Source organism: Homo sapiens, chromosome 20, assembly GCF_000001405.40.
Source record: "Homo sapiens chromosome 20, GRCh38.p14 Primary Assembly".
In the NCBI taxonomy this organism is placed as follows: Eukaryota; Metazoa; Chordata; class Mammalia; order Primates; family Hominidae; genus Homo; species Homo sapiens.
In genome coordinates, this window is record NC_000020.11 from 62,816,213 (window position 1) to 62,831,205 (window position 14,993).

At 65.8% G+C, this 14,993-nt stretch overlaps 1 protein-coding gene across 5 annotated transcripts in view, besides 7 other annotated features; it reads left to right on the top strand.

Annotated features, from left to right (window-relative positions):
- COL9A3 (collagen type IX alpha 3 chain) overlaps positions 1–14,993 on the top strand; it is a 24,947-nt gene continuing 9,954 nt past the window's right edge. For 3 of the 5 annotated variants that reach the window (NM_001853.4, XM_047439895.1, XM_017027666.2), the window contains exons 1-24: positions 838–930; positions 1,355–1,423; positions 2,306–2,341; positions 3,010–3,081; positions 3,717–3,770; positions 4,969–5,004; positions 5,295–5,318; positions 5,545–5,598; positions 5,899–5,952; positions 6,379–6,420; positions 8,233–8,289; positions 8,756–8,809; positions 9,605–9,658; positions 9,992–10,045; positions 10,555–10,608; positions 11,029–11,082; positions 11,711–11,764; positions 12,552–12,605; positions 12,711–12,764; positions 13,243–13,287; positions 13,416–13,469; positions 13,554–13,607; positions 14,148–14,201; positions 14,305–14,376. In NM_001853.4, coding sequence (NP_001844.3) covers positions 853–930; positions 1,355–1,423; positions 2,306–2,341; positions 3,010–3,081; positions 3,717–3,770; positions 4,969–5,004; positions 5,295–5,318; positions 5,545–5,598; positions 5,899–5,952; positions 6,379–6,420; positions 8,233–8,289; positions 8,756–8,809; positions 9,605–9,658; positions 9,992–10,045; positions 10,555–10,608; positions 11,029–11,082; positions 11,711–11,764; positions 12,552–12,605; positions 12,711–12,764; positions 13,243–13,287; positions 13,416–13,469; positions 13,554–13,607; positions 14,148–14,201; positions 14,305–14,376 — 1,287 coding nt within the window. In that variant the 5' untranslated portion in view covers positions 838–852. Of the gene's footprint in view, positions 106–837; positions 1,424–2,305; positions 2,342–3,009; positions 3,082–3,716; positions 3,771–4,968; positions 5,005–5,294; positions 5,319–5,544; positions 5,599–5,898; positions 5,953–6,378; positions 6,421–8,232; positions 8,290–8,755; positions 8,810–9,604; positions 9,659–9,991; positions 10,046–10,554; positions 10,609–11,028; positions 11,083–11,710; positions 11,765–12,551; positions 12,606–12,710; positions 12,765–13,242; positions 13,288–13,415; positions 13,470–13,553; positions 13,608–14,147; positions 14,202–14,304; positions 14,377–14,993 lie in introns of those variants that run through there. The other 2 variants (XM_047439894.1, XM_047439893.1) reach the window with 2 other exon arrangements.
- Positions 393–1,078: an enhancer, noted in NCBI's record as "H3K27ac-H3K4me1 hESC enhancer chr20:61447957-61448642 (GRCh37/hg19 assembly coordinates)". NCBI's record gives its function as "activates a minimal SCP1, AML or CMV promoter by ChIP-STARR-seq in naive H9 embryonic stem cells {active_cell/tissue: H9 hESC(naive)}" and the evidence as "EXISTENCE:reporter gene assay evidence [ECO:0000049][PMID:30033119]".
- Positions 1,767–2,452: an enhancer, noted in NCBI's record as "H3K27ac-H3K4me1 hESC enhancer chr20:61449331-61450016 (GRCh37/hg19 assembly coordinates)". NCBI's record gives its function as "activates a minimal SCP1, AML or CMV promoter by ChIP-STARR-seq in primed H9 embryonic stem cells {active_cell/tissue: H9 hESC(primed)}" and the evidence as "EXISTENCE:reporter gene assay evidence [ECO:0000049][PMID:30033119]".
- Positions 2,453–3,140: an enhancer, noted in NCBI's record as "H3K27ac-H3K4me1 hESC enhancer chr20:61450017-61450704 (GRCh37/hg19 assembly coordinates)". NCBI's record gives its function as "activates a minimal SCP1, AML or CMV promoter by ChIP-STARR-seq in primed H9 embryonic stem cells {active_cell/tissue: H9 hESC(primed)}" and the evidence as "EXISTENCE:reporter gene assay evidence [ECO:0000049][PMID:30033119]".
- Positions 7,022–7,710: an enhancer, noted in NCBI's record as "H3K27ac-H3K4me1 hESC enhancer chr20:61454586-61455274 (GRCh37/hg19 assembly coordinates)". NCBI's record gives its function as "activates a minimal SCP1, AML or CMV promoter by ChIP-STARR-seq in naive H9 embryonic stem cells {active_cell/tissue: H9 hESC(naive)}" and the evidence as "EXISTENCE:reporter gene assay evidence [ECO:0000049][PMID:30033119]".
- Positions 7,711–8,398: an enhancer, noted in NCBI's record as "H3K27ac-H3K4me1 hESC enhancer chr20:61455275-61455962 (GRCh37/hg19 assembly coordinates)". NCBI's record gives its function as "activates a minimal SCP1, AML or CMV promoter by ChIP-STARR-seq in naive H9 embryonic stem cells {active_cell/tissue: H9 hESC(naive)}" and the evidence as "EXISTENCE:reporter gene assay evidence [ECO:0000049][PMID:30033119]".
- Positions 8,987–9,046: a silencer, noted in NCBI's record as "silent region_13126". NCBI's record gives its function as "represses an Ori minimal core promoter by ATAC-STARR-seq in GM12878 lymphoblastoid cells {active_cell/tissue: GM12878}" and the evidence as "EXISTENCE:reporter gene assay evidence [ECO:0000049][PMID:35858748]".
- Positions 14,228–14,993: part of an enhancer, noted in NCBI's record as "H3K27ac-H3K4me1 hESC enhancer chr20:61461792-61462748 (GRCh37/hg19 assembly coordinates)", that runs on past the window's edge. NCBI's record gives its function as "activates a minimal SCP1, AML or CMV promoter by ChIP-STARR-seq in primed H9 embryonic stem cells {active_cell/tissue: H9 hESC(primed)}" and the evidence as "EXISTENCE:reporter gene assay evidence [ECO:0000049][PMID:30033119]".

The following is a 14,993-nucleotide window of genomic DNA, read 5'->3' on the forward strand; positions in this document are numbered from 1 at the left end:
GAGTCCCCTAGGGCAGCGACTGCCCTGGCAGCCTGAGGCAGAGCTTGGCCGGACCTGGCGACCCCTGAGCTTCTGGGAAATGGACATGGCCAGCACCGCCTTCAGGTTCCTGCCCAGGGCACGGTTCCTTCAGGCCGGGGATCCCGGGGAGGGGTTCTTCCCCTCGGCCAGGGTCATCGTTTTGCGATCTCTCCTGGGAGTCTGGGTTTGGAGTCTGGTCTTAGCCGGTAGCAACTGACGTGGCCTGACCACCCGGCCCGTCCAGGTCCACGGGTGAGGGGCCGCGGTGGGGGTGCTCCCAGCCCAGCAGGCAGCGCTGGACAGTGACCCCGGAGCGGGAACCAGGGCTGCGCTGGGCACTGACCGGGCCCTGGTACCGGGGATTCACCCTCCCCGGGGTGTTCCTGGGCCTTGGGTCGCCTGGGTCCGCTCCGGCGCCTGGGGAGGGGTCTGCGGCTTCGGAAACTCGCGGGTCTCCCCTGCCCCTCCCTGAAGGCGGCCCTTCAGCGCCGCGCGCTTCCGCCCCCACACTCGGGTTGAGGAGCAAGGAGAGAAAAGAGCGTCTTTCTCTCTTGCTCAAAGCTGCGTGTGTGCAACGCGCCAGTCCCAGGATAATTTTAACTCGCGGCCGGAGAGAACGCGCCGCCCGCCCGGCGTCTTTTTTGTTTTCGCCCAGGCGGGCTGGGCGGCGGCGCGGGGCGGGTGGAAGCCCCCCCGCCCAGGTGGGCCCGGCTGAATGGGGGGCTTGTGCAGGCGGGGGCGGGAAGGGGAAGGGGAAGGGGCCGCCCACCTCCCGCCCCGCCCGCCCGCGCGCCGCCCGCCCCGACGCCGCAGCTCAGACTCCGCTCAGCCATGGCCGGGCCGCGCGCGTGCGCCCCGCTCCTGCTCCTGCTCCTGCTCGGGGAGCTTCTGGCGGCCGCCGGGGCGCAGGTGAGCGCGAGCTCCGGGCTCTGAGGCTGGACGTGGAGCCGCGACCGCCCCAGCCCCGAACCCGCCACTCCGGGGTGCCCGGCGCAGCCTCGACGCCCCCAGCCCGTGTCGCCGTCGGGGCGCGGAGTCGCCAGCGCCTCGGGATGAGCCCCGTCCGGCCGCGTCCTCGATGGGTCCTCGCTGGCCCGGGTCGGCCGGCGCCGCCGCCTCCTCTGGGAGCACAAGGGGGCCTTTGTTCCCGCCGCCGGAGGGAGGCGGGGGACACACTGCGCGGGGGCGCCGGGCTCCGCCCGAGGCTTTGGGTCTCACCGAGGAGAGCGGCGGTCGTCGCAGGCCCCGGAGCCGCTCGGGACCCGGGAGGAGGGGACGCCGGGTCAGGCCCACGGGGGCACCTGCGCTCCTTAATGAGTTTTCTCCGTTTCAGAGAGTGGGACTCCCCGGCCCCCCCGGCCCCCCAGGGCCGCCCGGGAAGCCCGGCCAGGACGGCATTGACGTGAGTTTGGGGGTGGGGAGGGCCCCGAGCGCTCTGGGGTTCTGGCTCTGGCCCCCACCTCCCTGAGCTCCCCGGCCTGATGGAGAGAAAACCAGGCCCCACCTCCCAGAGCCGGGGTGACATCAGGGGACAGCCAGTGCCTTCACGGGATGGGGGTGGCCCTGCGGGGACTGCTGGTGGGTAGGGGTGGAGGGTGTCATGTGGTGGTCCTCCACCCAGAATGCCGGCACTGAGGTGTGTGTCTCTGGGTCCCCTGAGGGGCCCGTGCCCCTGTGTTCGGGGTTCTGGCCTCTGGCTGAAGTGGGGAGAGGCACGTCCTTTGGGTGGTTGGGGGCCGGGGGTCTTGTTGGAGGCTGCTGGGCTCTGGAGCCAGCCATGGAGGGGGCTTAGGAGCCGACTCAGTCCTGAGATGATGTCCCCTATGGGTATCTCAGGACTGGTGTGGGCCAAGCAGCAGGAGGAGGCGGCTGAAATTCTACAATTGTGCCTCCCTCGGAGGGACCGTCTGGGGTGAACCTCCCCATGTGACCACCACCAGGGCAGGAGTCCCCTCAGGGCCTGTCCACGCTGTGTGGTCCCCGTGGAGGGCTGTGGAGGGCTGCACCAAGAGCCCCCCATGACCCACCCTCTGCCCCCCTGCCCAGCTCGGCCTCAATGGCCACAGCCTCCTTCCAGTCTGTCCAGTTCACCCCTTTGCCCAGTGCTGCCCCACACATGGGAGGGTGCCCTCTAGGTAGGGATCGGGGGCTCAGGGGCCCCTTTTGTCTGCTGGGGCTGGGCCTCTGGGGCTGATTTGGAGGCCAGCGCTGCTCTTTTCCCCGAGGCGGGGTTCTTGAGGGACCCCTGATTTTCAGGGTTACATGTGGGTGTCTTTCCTCACAGGGAGAAGCTGGTCCTCCAGGTCTGCCTGGGCCCCCGGTGAGTGTCCCTGGCTGGGGAGACAGCCTTTTTCCAGTCTGGAGAGAAAGGGGGAACTCAGAACAGAGGGGTCATTGATATCCTGTCTCATCCTGCCGGAGCCCGGGTTGCCTGAGGGGAGGCCTCAGAGGGCTTGGAGCAGGCCTGGAGCCAGCGGGGCGGGAGGGGAGTGTGTGGGCTCAGCCTCTGCATGTTCAGGGCAGGGCCTGGCTTTGAAGCTTTCTTTGGACCAGCGCCAGGCAGGCCGGGACCGGGGCTGGTACAGCCCTTCAGGTCCCCCAGGCCTGAGGTCACCTGGAGCCCTCCCACCTTCTTCAGTTCCAGGGGTTGAGGGTCCTGGGGCTCAGAGCCCTGTCTGGGCCCACTGGGGGTCCGACAGAGATGCCTGCTGGCCCTTAGCCAGGGAGGCCGAGGTGACCAGACGAAGGTCTTACAGATGCCACTGAGGGATGGGGCGGGCAGCCTTCCTGGGCCAGCAAGGTGTGGGCAAGCAGGACACACGTGCCCCAGCTGAGCCGGGTCTGCCAGACAGTAGGGGGGACCCAGGAGAGGGGCCCATCCCGTATGGTTGGGCTGGGGGGAAGTGGAAAGCATTTTGCTTCATTGCTGAAGGCCTGGGCTCCAGGCCAGACCCCGCCTTCACATCTCTGCCCTTTCCTCCTGCACAGGGACCAAAGGGGGCCCCAGGAAAGCCGGGGAAACCAGGAGAGGCTGGGCTGCCGGGACTGCCGGGTGTGGATGTGAGTGCGCCTGCCCCTCCCCGCCATGCCCCACTCCCCGCTCCGGGTCCCTGGAGGAGTCCGGCCCTAATTGCTGTTGTCCAGCTGGGCCTGCTCAGGCGGGAAGCCCAGTCCTGAGAGAAGTCTCCAGAAGTCCCCAACAGGGGTCCTTTGGCCTTCATCCCAGACGCCACCAGCATCTGGCAGGGGACAGAGCCAGCCCAGTGGAGTCGGAAGTCCCGCCAGCCCTCCTTGCTTGTCCAGGAATGAGTGCCCATTGTCAGGACCTTCTGCCCACTGCTGGCCTCACTTAGTCATCTTGGGCTCCAGGCCTGGCCCCAGGGCCACGGAGTTTTGTTCGGAGGAAGCCGGGCCTGAGAAGTGAGCTGTCCAGTCCTGCTGGGTTGGTCCCCGAGGCCTGACTACAGCAGGTGCCTCCGTTGCTGGCTTCCCGCTGGCTGCCCCCTCCCTCCTCCCAGAGCCTCTGGCTACAGCAGGCAGACAGTGGACAGGGCCAAGAGAGGAGGCTGCCACCCTAAGGGTCTTCTATGCCTCTCTGGACTCACCAAGGGAAGGGTCCGTGCTTCCATTTTTGCCTGGGGGGTGGCATGTGCTTCCCATGTGGCCCCTCGAGCTCGCCCTCTGCCTCTCCCCAGGGTCTGACTGGACGAGATGGACCCCCTGGACCCAAGGGTGCCCCTGGGGAACGGGTAAGTGCCTGCGCCGAACCCAGTGGCTTGGGTTCAGAGGTGAGGTCCCCTGGCCACCTCTGGCTGCTCTGTGTCCACAAGGCCAAGGAGCTGGTAGTTCCAAGGACAGCTGCCCTGCCCGTGCCTGGGGTGGAGGGGCAGAAGGGCAGGGTGCCAAGTGGCCAGTCCCCTGTGCCTGCCTCCCTGCCTCACCTCCACGTATGGTCAGAGTTGTCCTGGTATCCAGACCATGGCAGGGAGAAGGGGGATGGTTTGGGGGAACCCACCCCAGGTGCCTCCTCAGAATGTCCCTGAAGCCCCCAGGGCCCTGGGCAGACCACCACCAGGGACCCCCGGGCACGCAGCCTGCAGAGTCCCCTGTGCCTGCCTGTTGGACACTGAATCCTTTACCCTGACGGAGCGGCACCACCACCCAAGGGTGCCTTTCTCCCCTTGTGGCTTCTGAGTACAAACCCGAAGCCAGCATTCTCTCTTTGGCTTCATAAGACGTGGCTGTCAGCCAACCGGGTGCCACTGGCCCCAGGCGCAAAGCATCACAGAGGGCAGGAAGGCTGGGCTGGGGACACGAGGACACAGCCCTGCCCTTGGGACCCTTGGGAGCTCGTCAGGCATGAGGCGGATTCTGAGCTGAAAACAGGAGGGAAACAGTAGCTGCTGGCAGCCGAGTCCGTGGTGCCCAGGGGTGTGGGGTGGGCTGGTCCCCAGGCTTTCAGGAGGGGCCTCCAGCCTCAGCACAGGGCCCGTGCGTGCCGTCCAGGGAATGAGGCATTTCAGGCAGCAGGGGCCAGACAGGGCCCAGAGGGTGTGGAGGGCAGACAGGGCCTGGCTGCCCAAGGCTCTGGGGCTCGCTGACGTGGGCGGGGGCTGAGGACTCAGCAGGCTCCGTGGGTGGGTTATCGGGAGGGCTTCCTGGTGGAGACAGGCACCCCGGGTCACTTCGGTGCCTCTCAGCCCTGCCTCAGGTTGCACCTTCTTGCAGCGAGCGCTGGGACTCTGGTGCCATCTGTCTCCAGCAGCTCCCCAGGACGGCAAAGACCCTCCAGGTCAAGAGGGCTCAGAGGCCCTGCCCCTCTGTGAAGTGGGGACTTGGACCCTGTTGTCCTGGGAGTTGGAGTTGTGACGTCACACTTCAGAGGGAGGGGATTGGGTTTGCAAATAGAGGCCCAGCCCAACCTAGACGCCTGCTTTCCTCCCACAGGGAAGTCTGGGACCCCCGGGGCCGCCCGGGCTGGGGGTGAGTATGGAGTGTGGTCCTCTCCTCTCCATGGGAGTTTGGGGAGCTGGAGAGTCTGGTCTAAATGGGGTGGCCTCCAGGAATCCCAGGGACCATCCCTGGCCCTCTCATCTGCAGCCTCTCCGGAGGCTGGTGCCTGGATGGGGTCCTGGTGCCCTCTCTGGGCTGGGACCAGACACCCATCCCTGGAACCGCCCTTTCCCCAGGACCCACCTGAGCCATCTTAGGGAGGGGTGAGGCGCAGCCCTTCTTGTGCCTGGCAGGCTCTGACCCCATGTTTGGCTTTGCAGGGCAAAGGCCTCCCTGGACCCCCCGTGAGTACTGACAACCCTTGGGGCCCTGAGCAAGCACGCAAGTCCCGAGAGCCTGCCAGGCTGGGATGTCCCAAACCGTGCCTGGGGGTGGGGCTTCTCAGGGGCAGCCATCTGACCACCCCATACTTGGAGCCCCTCTCCCTTCGGAGGCGGCACACCAACCCTGGGTGGGGATCCTCGGGGCTTCCGGGTGCAGACCTCCCCACCTCTCTTTACTTCCCTCCAGGGAGAGGCAGGAGTGAGCGGCCCCCCAGGTGGGATCGGCCTCCGCGGCCCCCCGGTGAGTGGCTGTCCCAGAGCCCCTCAGAGTGTGCTCACCTGTGGCCTCCACCCCCAGACTCAACAGCCAGGGGCTCCCTTCCCCTCTCCCTTTTCCCTTTCTCCCCCAACCCCACCTTGGTGGGTGTTGGTAGAAGCCCTGGCCAATGATCCAGACCCGACCTCAGGACGCAGACACCAGCACAGTCCGTGGGAGTGGGGGCTGGTGGGAGCTGGGCGTGTCCACCTCCCTGGGAGAAGCCGGGCACCTCACTCAGGTGGGGGCTGGTCCCACTCTGTCTAAGTCATACCCCCTCCCCAGGGACCTTCTGGACTCCCCGGCCTCCCTGGTCCCCCAGGACCTCCCGGACCCCCTGTAAGTACTGGGCAGAGGCTCTAAGAAGTGCTGGGCATGGACTAGGACACTGGGTTGGACCCTCCCCATTCCCCCTCCCCAGGCTCCATGCCCCTCCGAGATCTCCTAACCCTAACTTGGCCACTCCCAGGAACAGTCAATGGTGGGGGCAGTGGCTGTGGCTAGGCCAGCCAACTTGGGGATGGTCAGGACTCAGGTCCCCATGGCCATCCTGCCCCAAGGACAGGTGGATTCTGTCGTTGTCACATGCCCTGTGGGTGGGCCAGCAGCTCCCAGCACTGGCCACTTGGGGGACAGGATGAAGGGTCTCCAAGTCCCCTGGTGGATGGGGAAGGTTGTGGTCCGTCAGAGAGTGGGTGGGTGGGTTGGGTGGCTGCAGGTGGCTGGGGAGGGCGGGAGAATGTCAGCTGTCTCTTTTTGTCTTAGGGACACCCAGGAGTCCTCCCTGAAGGCGCTACTGACCTTCAGGTAGGCACTTGAAGCCATTTGTTAAGGGTGCTGGGGGGTGCCTACCTTGGGGGGAGGGGTTCTGGCCTGGAGAGGGGCTTGTCCATACTGGCAAGAAGGCAGGGCCCGAGCCCTCCCTGGGGACAGGAGCTCAGAGCAGACAGCTCGGGCACAACCTGGCAGAGAGGCTGGCTGGGACCTCCCCCTCCCCCTTCCCACCCTCCTCACCACCGTCTAGACCTGCACTGTCCCTCATGAAGCCACCAGGCGCATGGAGCTGTACAAATGTAATGAATCACAATCATGTCACAGAGCCATCCAGCTCCCCTGCGTCATCCGCAGAGGGCGCCCTTGGCCACAGATGGCGACAGAACTGGAGTCTGGGACCCACCTTTATCTTGATCTTTGAGCCTTGTCATTTGCCTGAAAAGAAAACAGGCTCAGGTCAGGCGCAGTGGCTCAGGCCTGTAATCCCAGCACTTTGGGAGGCCCAGACAGGAGGATCGCTTAAGCTCAGGAGTTTGAGACCAGCCTGGGCAACATAGTGAGATCTTTGTCTCTACAAAAAATTGTTAAAGTAGCCAGACGTGGTGGCGTGCCTGTTGTCCTAGCTACTTGGATGGCTGTGGTGGGAGGATCACTTGAGCCCAGGAGGCAGTGGTTGCAGGGTGCTGTGATCAAGCCACTGCACTCCAGCGTGAGCAGCCAAGCTCAAGCCTGTCTCAAAAAAATGAAGAGGAAAGAAAATGGGCTTCGGAGGCCACGGATCCATCTCTCCTCTCTGTTTGGCCGTCCGTGGTGGCAGTCAGCGCCTTGTTTCCATAGAGAGGTTTGATAGTTTTGAAGGGAAAAGCTCGGCCCACTCTGACCTGACCACCGACGCTGTCTACCAGCCTCTCTCCTCACCCCACCCCGGGGCCTAGGTGCCTGGCCAGCCTGTGTCCCAGAAGGGAGGCTTTAGGGAACCTTCCAGAATGTGGTGCGTGGTTGGGCCCCCGATCGTGGGCTGAGTGGGGCAGGGGCTGAAGATACGGGTCTGCACCCTTGGCCTGGCCTGCCCATTGCAGCTGTAGGATCATCTAGAAGCAGCCCTGGGTTTCCTGAGCATCAGACCTGTTGCCTGGGCTCACAGTGCCCCTCCTAAAAGCCCCATGCCGAGCACATTCCTGTGCTGAGGATGGGCCCGACCTGAGGCTGCTGCAAGGCCCCCTGCAGTGCCGGCCGGGACTGTGCTGAATGGCTGCTTTGATAGCCAGTGTCTGCCGTGGGGCCGGCTGCTCCATGCAGCCCCTGCTGCACTTGGCCAGTGCTGAAGGAGACCCTGTCTGTGTCCTGTCCCAGTGCCATCACCTGTACGGAGTGGCCTCCTGGGGTCCCGTCACTGTGTGGAGTGGCCTCCTGGGGTCCCGTCACTGTGTGGAGTGGCCTCCTGGGGTCCTGTCACCCAGAGTGTCCCGACACCCGCGCGGAGTGGCCTCCTGGGGCCCCGTCACCCACGCGGAGTGGCCTCCTGGGGTCCCGTCTCTGTGTGGAGTGGCCTCCTGGGGTCCTGTCACCCAGAGTGTCCCGACACCCGCGCGGAGTGGCCTCCCGGGGCCCCGTCACCCACGTGGAGTGGCCTCCTGGGGTCCCATCATCTGTGCGGAGTGGCCTCCTGGGGTCCCGTCACTGATGCGGAGTGGCCTCCTGGGGTCCTGTCACCATGAGGAGTGGCCTCCCGGGGTCCCGTCACCGTGCAGAGTGGCCTCCTGGGGTCCCGCGGGCGCTGACCCCTGCGTCGGACGTCCTGCTCTGTTTGGCTGGGAGGGGTCTGACTGCTCTGTTTTCCGACAGTGCCCAAGTATCTGCCCGCCAGGTCCCCCAGGGCCCCCTGGAATGCCAGGGTTCAAGGTGAGTCACGGGTGACTGGGACCCAAGCACCACCCTGTGCTGGGCAGGAGGCAGCTGGGCTCCCATGGGGCTGTGGAGGTGGCGGGTCCAGAAAGCTGGACCCTGGTTCCAGGGTTGCCCCAGGAAGAAAGCTAGGCCAGCCTCCTTGTCCCGCCTTCAGCACCCCAGTGACACGCTGATGTGGCCAGGCTGGGACTGGCCATAGGCGTCAGAGACTGCGGGGGAGAGCTAGCCTCAAGCTCCCACCCCAGCCCAGCCCTGGCCCGCTCCTGACCGCAGAGCGCCCTCATGTGGGTCCTAGCGCCTCTCAGGCCTCAGTTTCCCCATGAGGGCCCAGACCCGCGGTCCTGTGCGCTGCCGTGTGGCGGGCCCTGGGCTGACTGACCCTGCAGGCCTCACTTCAGTGTTGCCAGGGAGGGGGTGTCGGGGGGTCTGGGTGGGGCAGTGACCCCACATTTGCTTGCAGGGACCCACTGGCTACAAAGGCGAGCAGGGGGAAGTCGGCAAGGACGGCGAGAAGGTGAAGCTGCCGCACAGCAGCTGGGGAGGAGCTGGGGACTGGAGGCTGGGCTCCGGCGGGAGGGAGGGGCTGGGCTCCGGCGGGAGGGAGGGGCTGGGCTCCGGCGGGAGGGAGGGGCTGGGCTCCGGCGGGAGGGAGGGGCTGGGCTCCGGCGGGAGGGAGGGGCTGGGCTCCGGCGGTGGGGAGGGACCGTTTCATGGGTGCACCTGCACTGGCACCTTCTGTGCCTGTCTTCCAGACAGGGCCTGGCTGGTCAGAGCTGGGTGATTTAGGCAGGGTCCCTGGACAGACCCCGTCCTGCCTGGCCTCGCTGTGGAAGCTCCCTGGTTTGTGTCTGTGGCCGGGGCGAGGGGCATCTGTGAGGATGGCTGGCTTTAGCCTGTAGCCTCCCCTCACCTGTGGTCGCTGTCCGTGGAGGGTGTCTGTCCATGGTCACCTGCAGGCCGGGGGACCAGGTCTGGGATGCCCTTTAGCGTGGCTGGAGTGATCAGATGAGGAGACCCCAGGTGCACATCAGAGGGGTCCCTGCTTGGCCACGAGGAGGGGCCTGGACAGGGCTGAAGGGCCTTGTGGGAACAGTGACCACGGACCCCGGCCCGGCAGGGCGAGGCCACCGAGACTCGCGGGACTGCTCTGGAACTGTGGGCAAGTGTCCCCTTCACAGAGCCTCCAAGGCCCAGCTGTGAAGGGGGCAACACCCCCAGCTGCTTGGGCTTGAGTAGGGTGACTGGAGGCACCGAAAGGTGCAAGGAGAGCCAGACTGGGCCGCTGACCACCCTATCCCCTCTGTTTCAGGGTGACCCTGGCCCCCCTGGGCCCGCCGGCCTCCCGGGCAGCGTGGGGCTGCAGGTGAGGCTAGGAAGGGGTAAGGATGGTGGGATGGGAACTCAGCCCACAGAGTGATCAAGCCCTGCACATATCTACCCCCGAGGGGGCCAGCTCCGGCTGGGGGGTGTTTGGCCAACACCCAGGCACAGGAGCGCGACCTGGCTGGGGGTCCCACCTCTGCCAAGGCTGCTGACCTCAAGGCTGGTGCCCCCTCCCTCTGGGGGACCTGAGCTGAGGCTGAGGGCTCATGGAAGACACCAGGGCTCCCAGGGGTACCCCGAGGGCCTTGGCCCTGGGTGCTCCCCGGGGTGGAGGTGCAGCCCCAGCCTCTGCATCTGTGCCTCTCTCTCGCAGGGCCCCCGGGGATTACGAGGACTGCCAGGGCCACTCGGGCCCCCTGGGGACCGGGTAAGTCCTGCAGCCCCTAGTGGGGGCCGGCCAGGTGGCTGGGGGCCTGGTTGTCTGCACCTCCAGACTTCAGATGGGCCCCGTGAGTGACACTCTGAAGCAGCCGGCACCCTGGCTCTGGCCATCGCCACTGTGGCGCAGGCCTTGCTCTGGGCCCCTGTTCTCGCATGTGCCTGGGCGAGAGCTGACAGTCGGCGCTCACTGATGCCCGCACGCGGTCCCAGGCTGCTGTGAGGGCTATTCACGCGTGTGCCCGGGCGAGGGCTGATGAACTCTGCTCGCTGACACCCACACACACGGTCCCAGGCTGCTGTGAGGGCTGTTGTGGCTTAGGCCAGAGCAGGAGGGGAAGCAGGGATTTGGAGACTACTAGGTGGCATCTTGGGGGAACTTGCTGGGGAGCCCTAGAGGAAGGGCTGCTTGTGTCTGGGCCGCCCCTGAGGGAGCACTGGGGGGATGCCAGCCAGGCCTCAGACAAGAGGACCCCGGATCCCCTCTCTCCTCTGCAGGGTCCCATTGGGTTCCGAGGGCCGCCTGGGATCCCAGGAGCGCCTGGGAAAGCGGTACGTGTGTCAGTGGACGGTGGGCGCCATGCCTCGTGACCTCTCTCCCCTTTCCCTCTGCTCCTCTCAGACGCCCCCAGCCCCACTGGGGCCCCTCTTCTGTGGCTGAGCTGTTCCCTGGACACCCTGGGAGGGCTTGTGGCATGGGTACGGGGGTGCTTACCAATGGAATCCATTCTTTGTGAGACATTCGCCTCCTTTCTGGTTCTGGACGTGGAATGAGGGGTCACCATCGTCCCTCTGGCACCTCCAGCCATCTCTGACCACTCCTGGAGGGCCCAGGCCTGGAGGGGCCCCCATCCCACTCTCTGACCACTCCTGGAGGGCTGTCCCCCGCCCGGGCCTGGAGGGGCCCCCGTCCTACTCTCCGACCAACTCCATGGTGTTAACTCTGTCCCTGCCCCACCTCATCCTTTCCAGGGTGACCGAGGCGAGAGGGGCCCAGAAGGGTTCCGCGGCCCCAAGGGTGACCTCGTAAGTGAGAGGGAAGTTGGTTCCCTGGGTCCTTATGTGGAAGAACCCAATTTCCCTCCTGACTCGTGCTGGGGAGGGGGACACACTTGGGAGTGAGACTGCAAGGGGCTGCCTGGGTGGGCCTGGGGGTGCGTGGGGGTGAGCCTGACCCTGGAGGGCCCGAGCTCTCTCCCTGGCCCCAGCCGTTCTCCCAGAGCCACATGGGAGCTCTGTGGCCCCCTGCAGAGCGGCCCACGAGCCGGGTGGAGGGACCAGGCTCCAGGGCTTGGATCCTGCCCCCAGAGAAAACGGCTCTCGGGTTGAGCAAGTGAACATAAGGAAAGTCCAGAGGCAGCCAAGCGTTCCAGGAGTGGAACTGAAGTGACCGTCCCCAGACTGGTCAGCCTCCACACCTCCCTCGACTGAGCCCTGGCAGCCGGAGTGCAGGGAGCCGCCGTGCCGTCCTGCAGCATCTGTGGATCCAAACACAGTTTTCTCCACGCACCCACAGGCCCCAGGGTGGTGGTCGGGGGTGGCCCCTGCCGCTGCCCACCATAGCTCCTTGGTGTCCCCGAGCAGCTGGCCGGAGAATGCGTGAGGCCGTCTGGGAAGAGACTGCCACTGCTTCTGTCACTTGTGTGTCCTCTAGGGCAGACCTGGTCCCAAGGGAACCCCCGGAGTGGCCGGGCCAAGCGGAGAGCCGGTGAGTGCACGTGGCTGCTCATGGAATGCTCCTCCCCCGGGTCCTGGGTATGTACAGGTGGAGATGGCATTCAGAAGGGCTGGAGCTCAGTGCCCTCTGCTGTGGCCATCTTGAAATCTGGGTTAACGGTGGAACAGCCCCGCAGCCCCACACATTTCTCTCTTGCCCAGAGCCTCACGAGTGTGCAGGAGTAGGGGCCTCAGGCTGGGTTTACCTGCACAGAGGACACGGGAAGTAAGGGTGGGTGGGTAGCACCACTGGGCAGAGGTGGGCACTCCCAGGGTCCCGGGCACCCATGCGGGCACCTTCCTTCCTGCTGGGTGCCCACCCTCAGCCCAGACCTGAGCTCCCTTCTAGCCCCTCGTGTTGCCTCTGCCCCGGAGTAGTGCCCTGTCTTGGGACACCCAGCAGTTGGCTGTGTCCTGATTCCAAAACCAGTCCAGGGTGGACGAGGCAGGCCTGGCCTAAGGCCTCAGTTTCCCCACCGTAAAATGGGCCAGAACCAAACTTCCTTAGGGCACCATGATGTGCCTGGTGGACGAGGCCTCGGGCGTCAGCACTGCATCAGCACCGCCTCTGCCACCCACCCGCACCCCTCACCTGTGCGGTCACCGAGGCAGCACTGGTTGCCACACGGCCACCTTGGTCATGAAACCAGATAACTGCCAGGGTGTGGGGGCAGACACAGTTTTAGGTTGATGGGGAAGGAGGCTGCCCCCAGGGCAGGACTGTAGAGGGAGGGAGGGGGGCCACTGCCCGACGGGCCTTACTCATCCCTTGTCCCCAGGGCATGCCGGGCAAGGACGGCCAGAATGGCGTGCCAGGACTCGATGGCCAGAAGGTTGGCATGGGGCTCAGGGTGTGACGGGAGGGAGGGGGCTGGAGGGGAGTTCGGCCTCCCGAGGCCTCAGCCTCCCCTTCCGCACCCCAATCTCTGTCCTCACAGGGAGAGGCTGGTCGCAACGGTGCTCCGGGAGAGAAGGGCCCCAACGGGCTGCCGGTGAGTGCCCGGCGGGTGGGGCCAGCCTGGGGCGCCACAGCTTCTGCCTGCTCAGTGGCCCATGTTGGGCTGGGTGGGTTGGTCACTGTAGGGCCGACTCCCTGTGAGGGGTTCTGGGGCCTGTGTCCATCAGGGCCTGGCACAACCCCTGGTGCCCAGTGGGTGCTGTGGACGGTTGCCTGTATGTTTGCATGTGTGTGCTTATTCGTGTGTACATGGGACATGTGTGAACATGTTGATGGCCATCCCTGGATGCCGTGCGGTCATCACCCCCATGGGCTCTGAGTAGGGGCTCCTGCATCCAAGGCCAGGGAGGCTGTCAAAGCCGCACCTCAGGTCCACAAGGCTGGGAGAAGTTGGCCCTGCCTTTGGGTGCACTCACTCTGGCCCCTGCACCCTGCCTGCGTGCACGCCCCTGGGTGCTGCTGCCGGCGTGCAATGTAACTGGCAGCCCTGACCGCAAGCTCTCTCCTGGCAGGGCCTCCCTGGACGAGCGGGGTCCAAAGGCGAGAAGGGAGAACGGGTATGTGGCTGCAGCCGCTTTCTCTCTGGGAGGGGAGGCGAGGGGCCGGGAGGCAAGGGGCTGGGGGGCCAGCGACCTGGCCCCAGTGCAGGTGTAGGCAGGCACTCACAGCTCTCCTTCCTCTACAGGGCAGAGCTGGGGAGCTGGGTGAGGCCGGCCCCTCTGGAGAGCCAGGCGTCCCTGTGAGTATCTGCGGCGCCCCAGACCCCTCCCCATCCAGCCTGTGTGCAGACCCTGCCCTGACACCCTCCTTCCTTTCCCTGTAGGGAGATGCTGGCATGCCTGGGGAGCGCGGTGAGGCTGGCCACCGGGGCTCAGCGGTGAGTGCAGGGACATGGCCCGGGGTCGGGGGTTAGCACTGAGCCATTGGCACATGGCCCCAGTTTCTGAGCAGGCCGGGGTGGCATTTGGTTGCCTTGATGGGCCAGGCCCACAAAAGCCTAGGATGCCAGGAGGTGTGGGGCCCCATCTTCTTGTCCCTCACCCGCTGGGAGACGGTCGGGGCCAGGCCGGAGCTGCCCTGTTTTCAAGCCTTCTATGCTGAGCCCAGCCTTGTGCCCCCATAGACTGAGATAATGACAGCACCAGCCACAGGGCCCTGGTGGGGGGAGCCAGGGGCATGGGTGCCTGGCCCCGAGTCTGGCCTGACAAATTGGGTCCAGGGTATGCCTGAGTTCTGAGACCCCCTAAACTGCCCTGGGAGGTAGCCCTGCCTTTGTCCCCAGCAACCCAGCCAGGTGGCTTAGAACCGGCTCCTGTGTCCACCCACTCTGGGGGAAGGCTGAGCCAGGCTCCCTGGGGCCTCTTGGGGACTCCTCGAACCCTGAGACATCCGCTCACACCTCACCTTTGTCTTCCAGGGGGCCCTCGGCCCACAAGGCCCTCCCGGAGCCCCTGGTGTCCGAGGCTTCCAGGTGGGTGAGGTTGGGGCAAGGGCCTGGCATGGGGGGCGGCACACCCAGACGGGCCAGACCCGACAGGGTATGGGCACTGACGAGCCAGGACCTCCTTCCCCAGGGCCAGAAGGGCAGCATGGGAGACCCCGGCCTTCCAGGCCCCCAGGGCCTCCGAGGTGACGTGGGCGACCGGGTAAGTGGCCCTCTCAGCAGGAAGCTCCCCTGCACCCCCTCTACCCATGTACCACAGTCCCCCACCCCCATGACAGTCCCCCAACCCCCACCACAGTCCCCCAACCCCTACCACAGTCCCCCAACCCCCACCACAGTCCCCACCCCCTACCACAGTCCCCCAACCCCCACCACAGTCCCCCACCCCCTACCACAATCCCCCACCCCCCACCACAGTCCCCTGGGACGCAGACAGGGAGAGGCCCTTGCAGCTCCCAGTGGGAAATCTGGCCATGGGCAGTGTCTCCCTGCGTGGCGGAGGCAGTGGCATCAGGGCCCCGACTGTGGCGCCTTTGGCCCCTCTGACCTTCCACGTGGTGTTCCTTGTGGGTGGGAGGCTGCGGGAGCCTGGGCCGCTCTGCCTCCTGCCCTGCGTAGACGCCTGGCGGGACCTGCACACGGTCAGTGTTCATTCCTCGAGATTGGCGTGGAGGCTGAGGCTCAAGAGCCACGCCTGCTCCCGCCTAGCGGGTGTCTGCGGAGGCGCGGTTGACAGAGGATCACGTTGCTATAAAATAGGTTTGAACACCATGTCCCAAGTGACTGTAACGGTCACAGCTTCTACCTCGTCAAGACTTT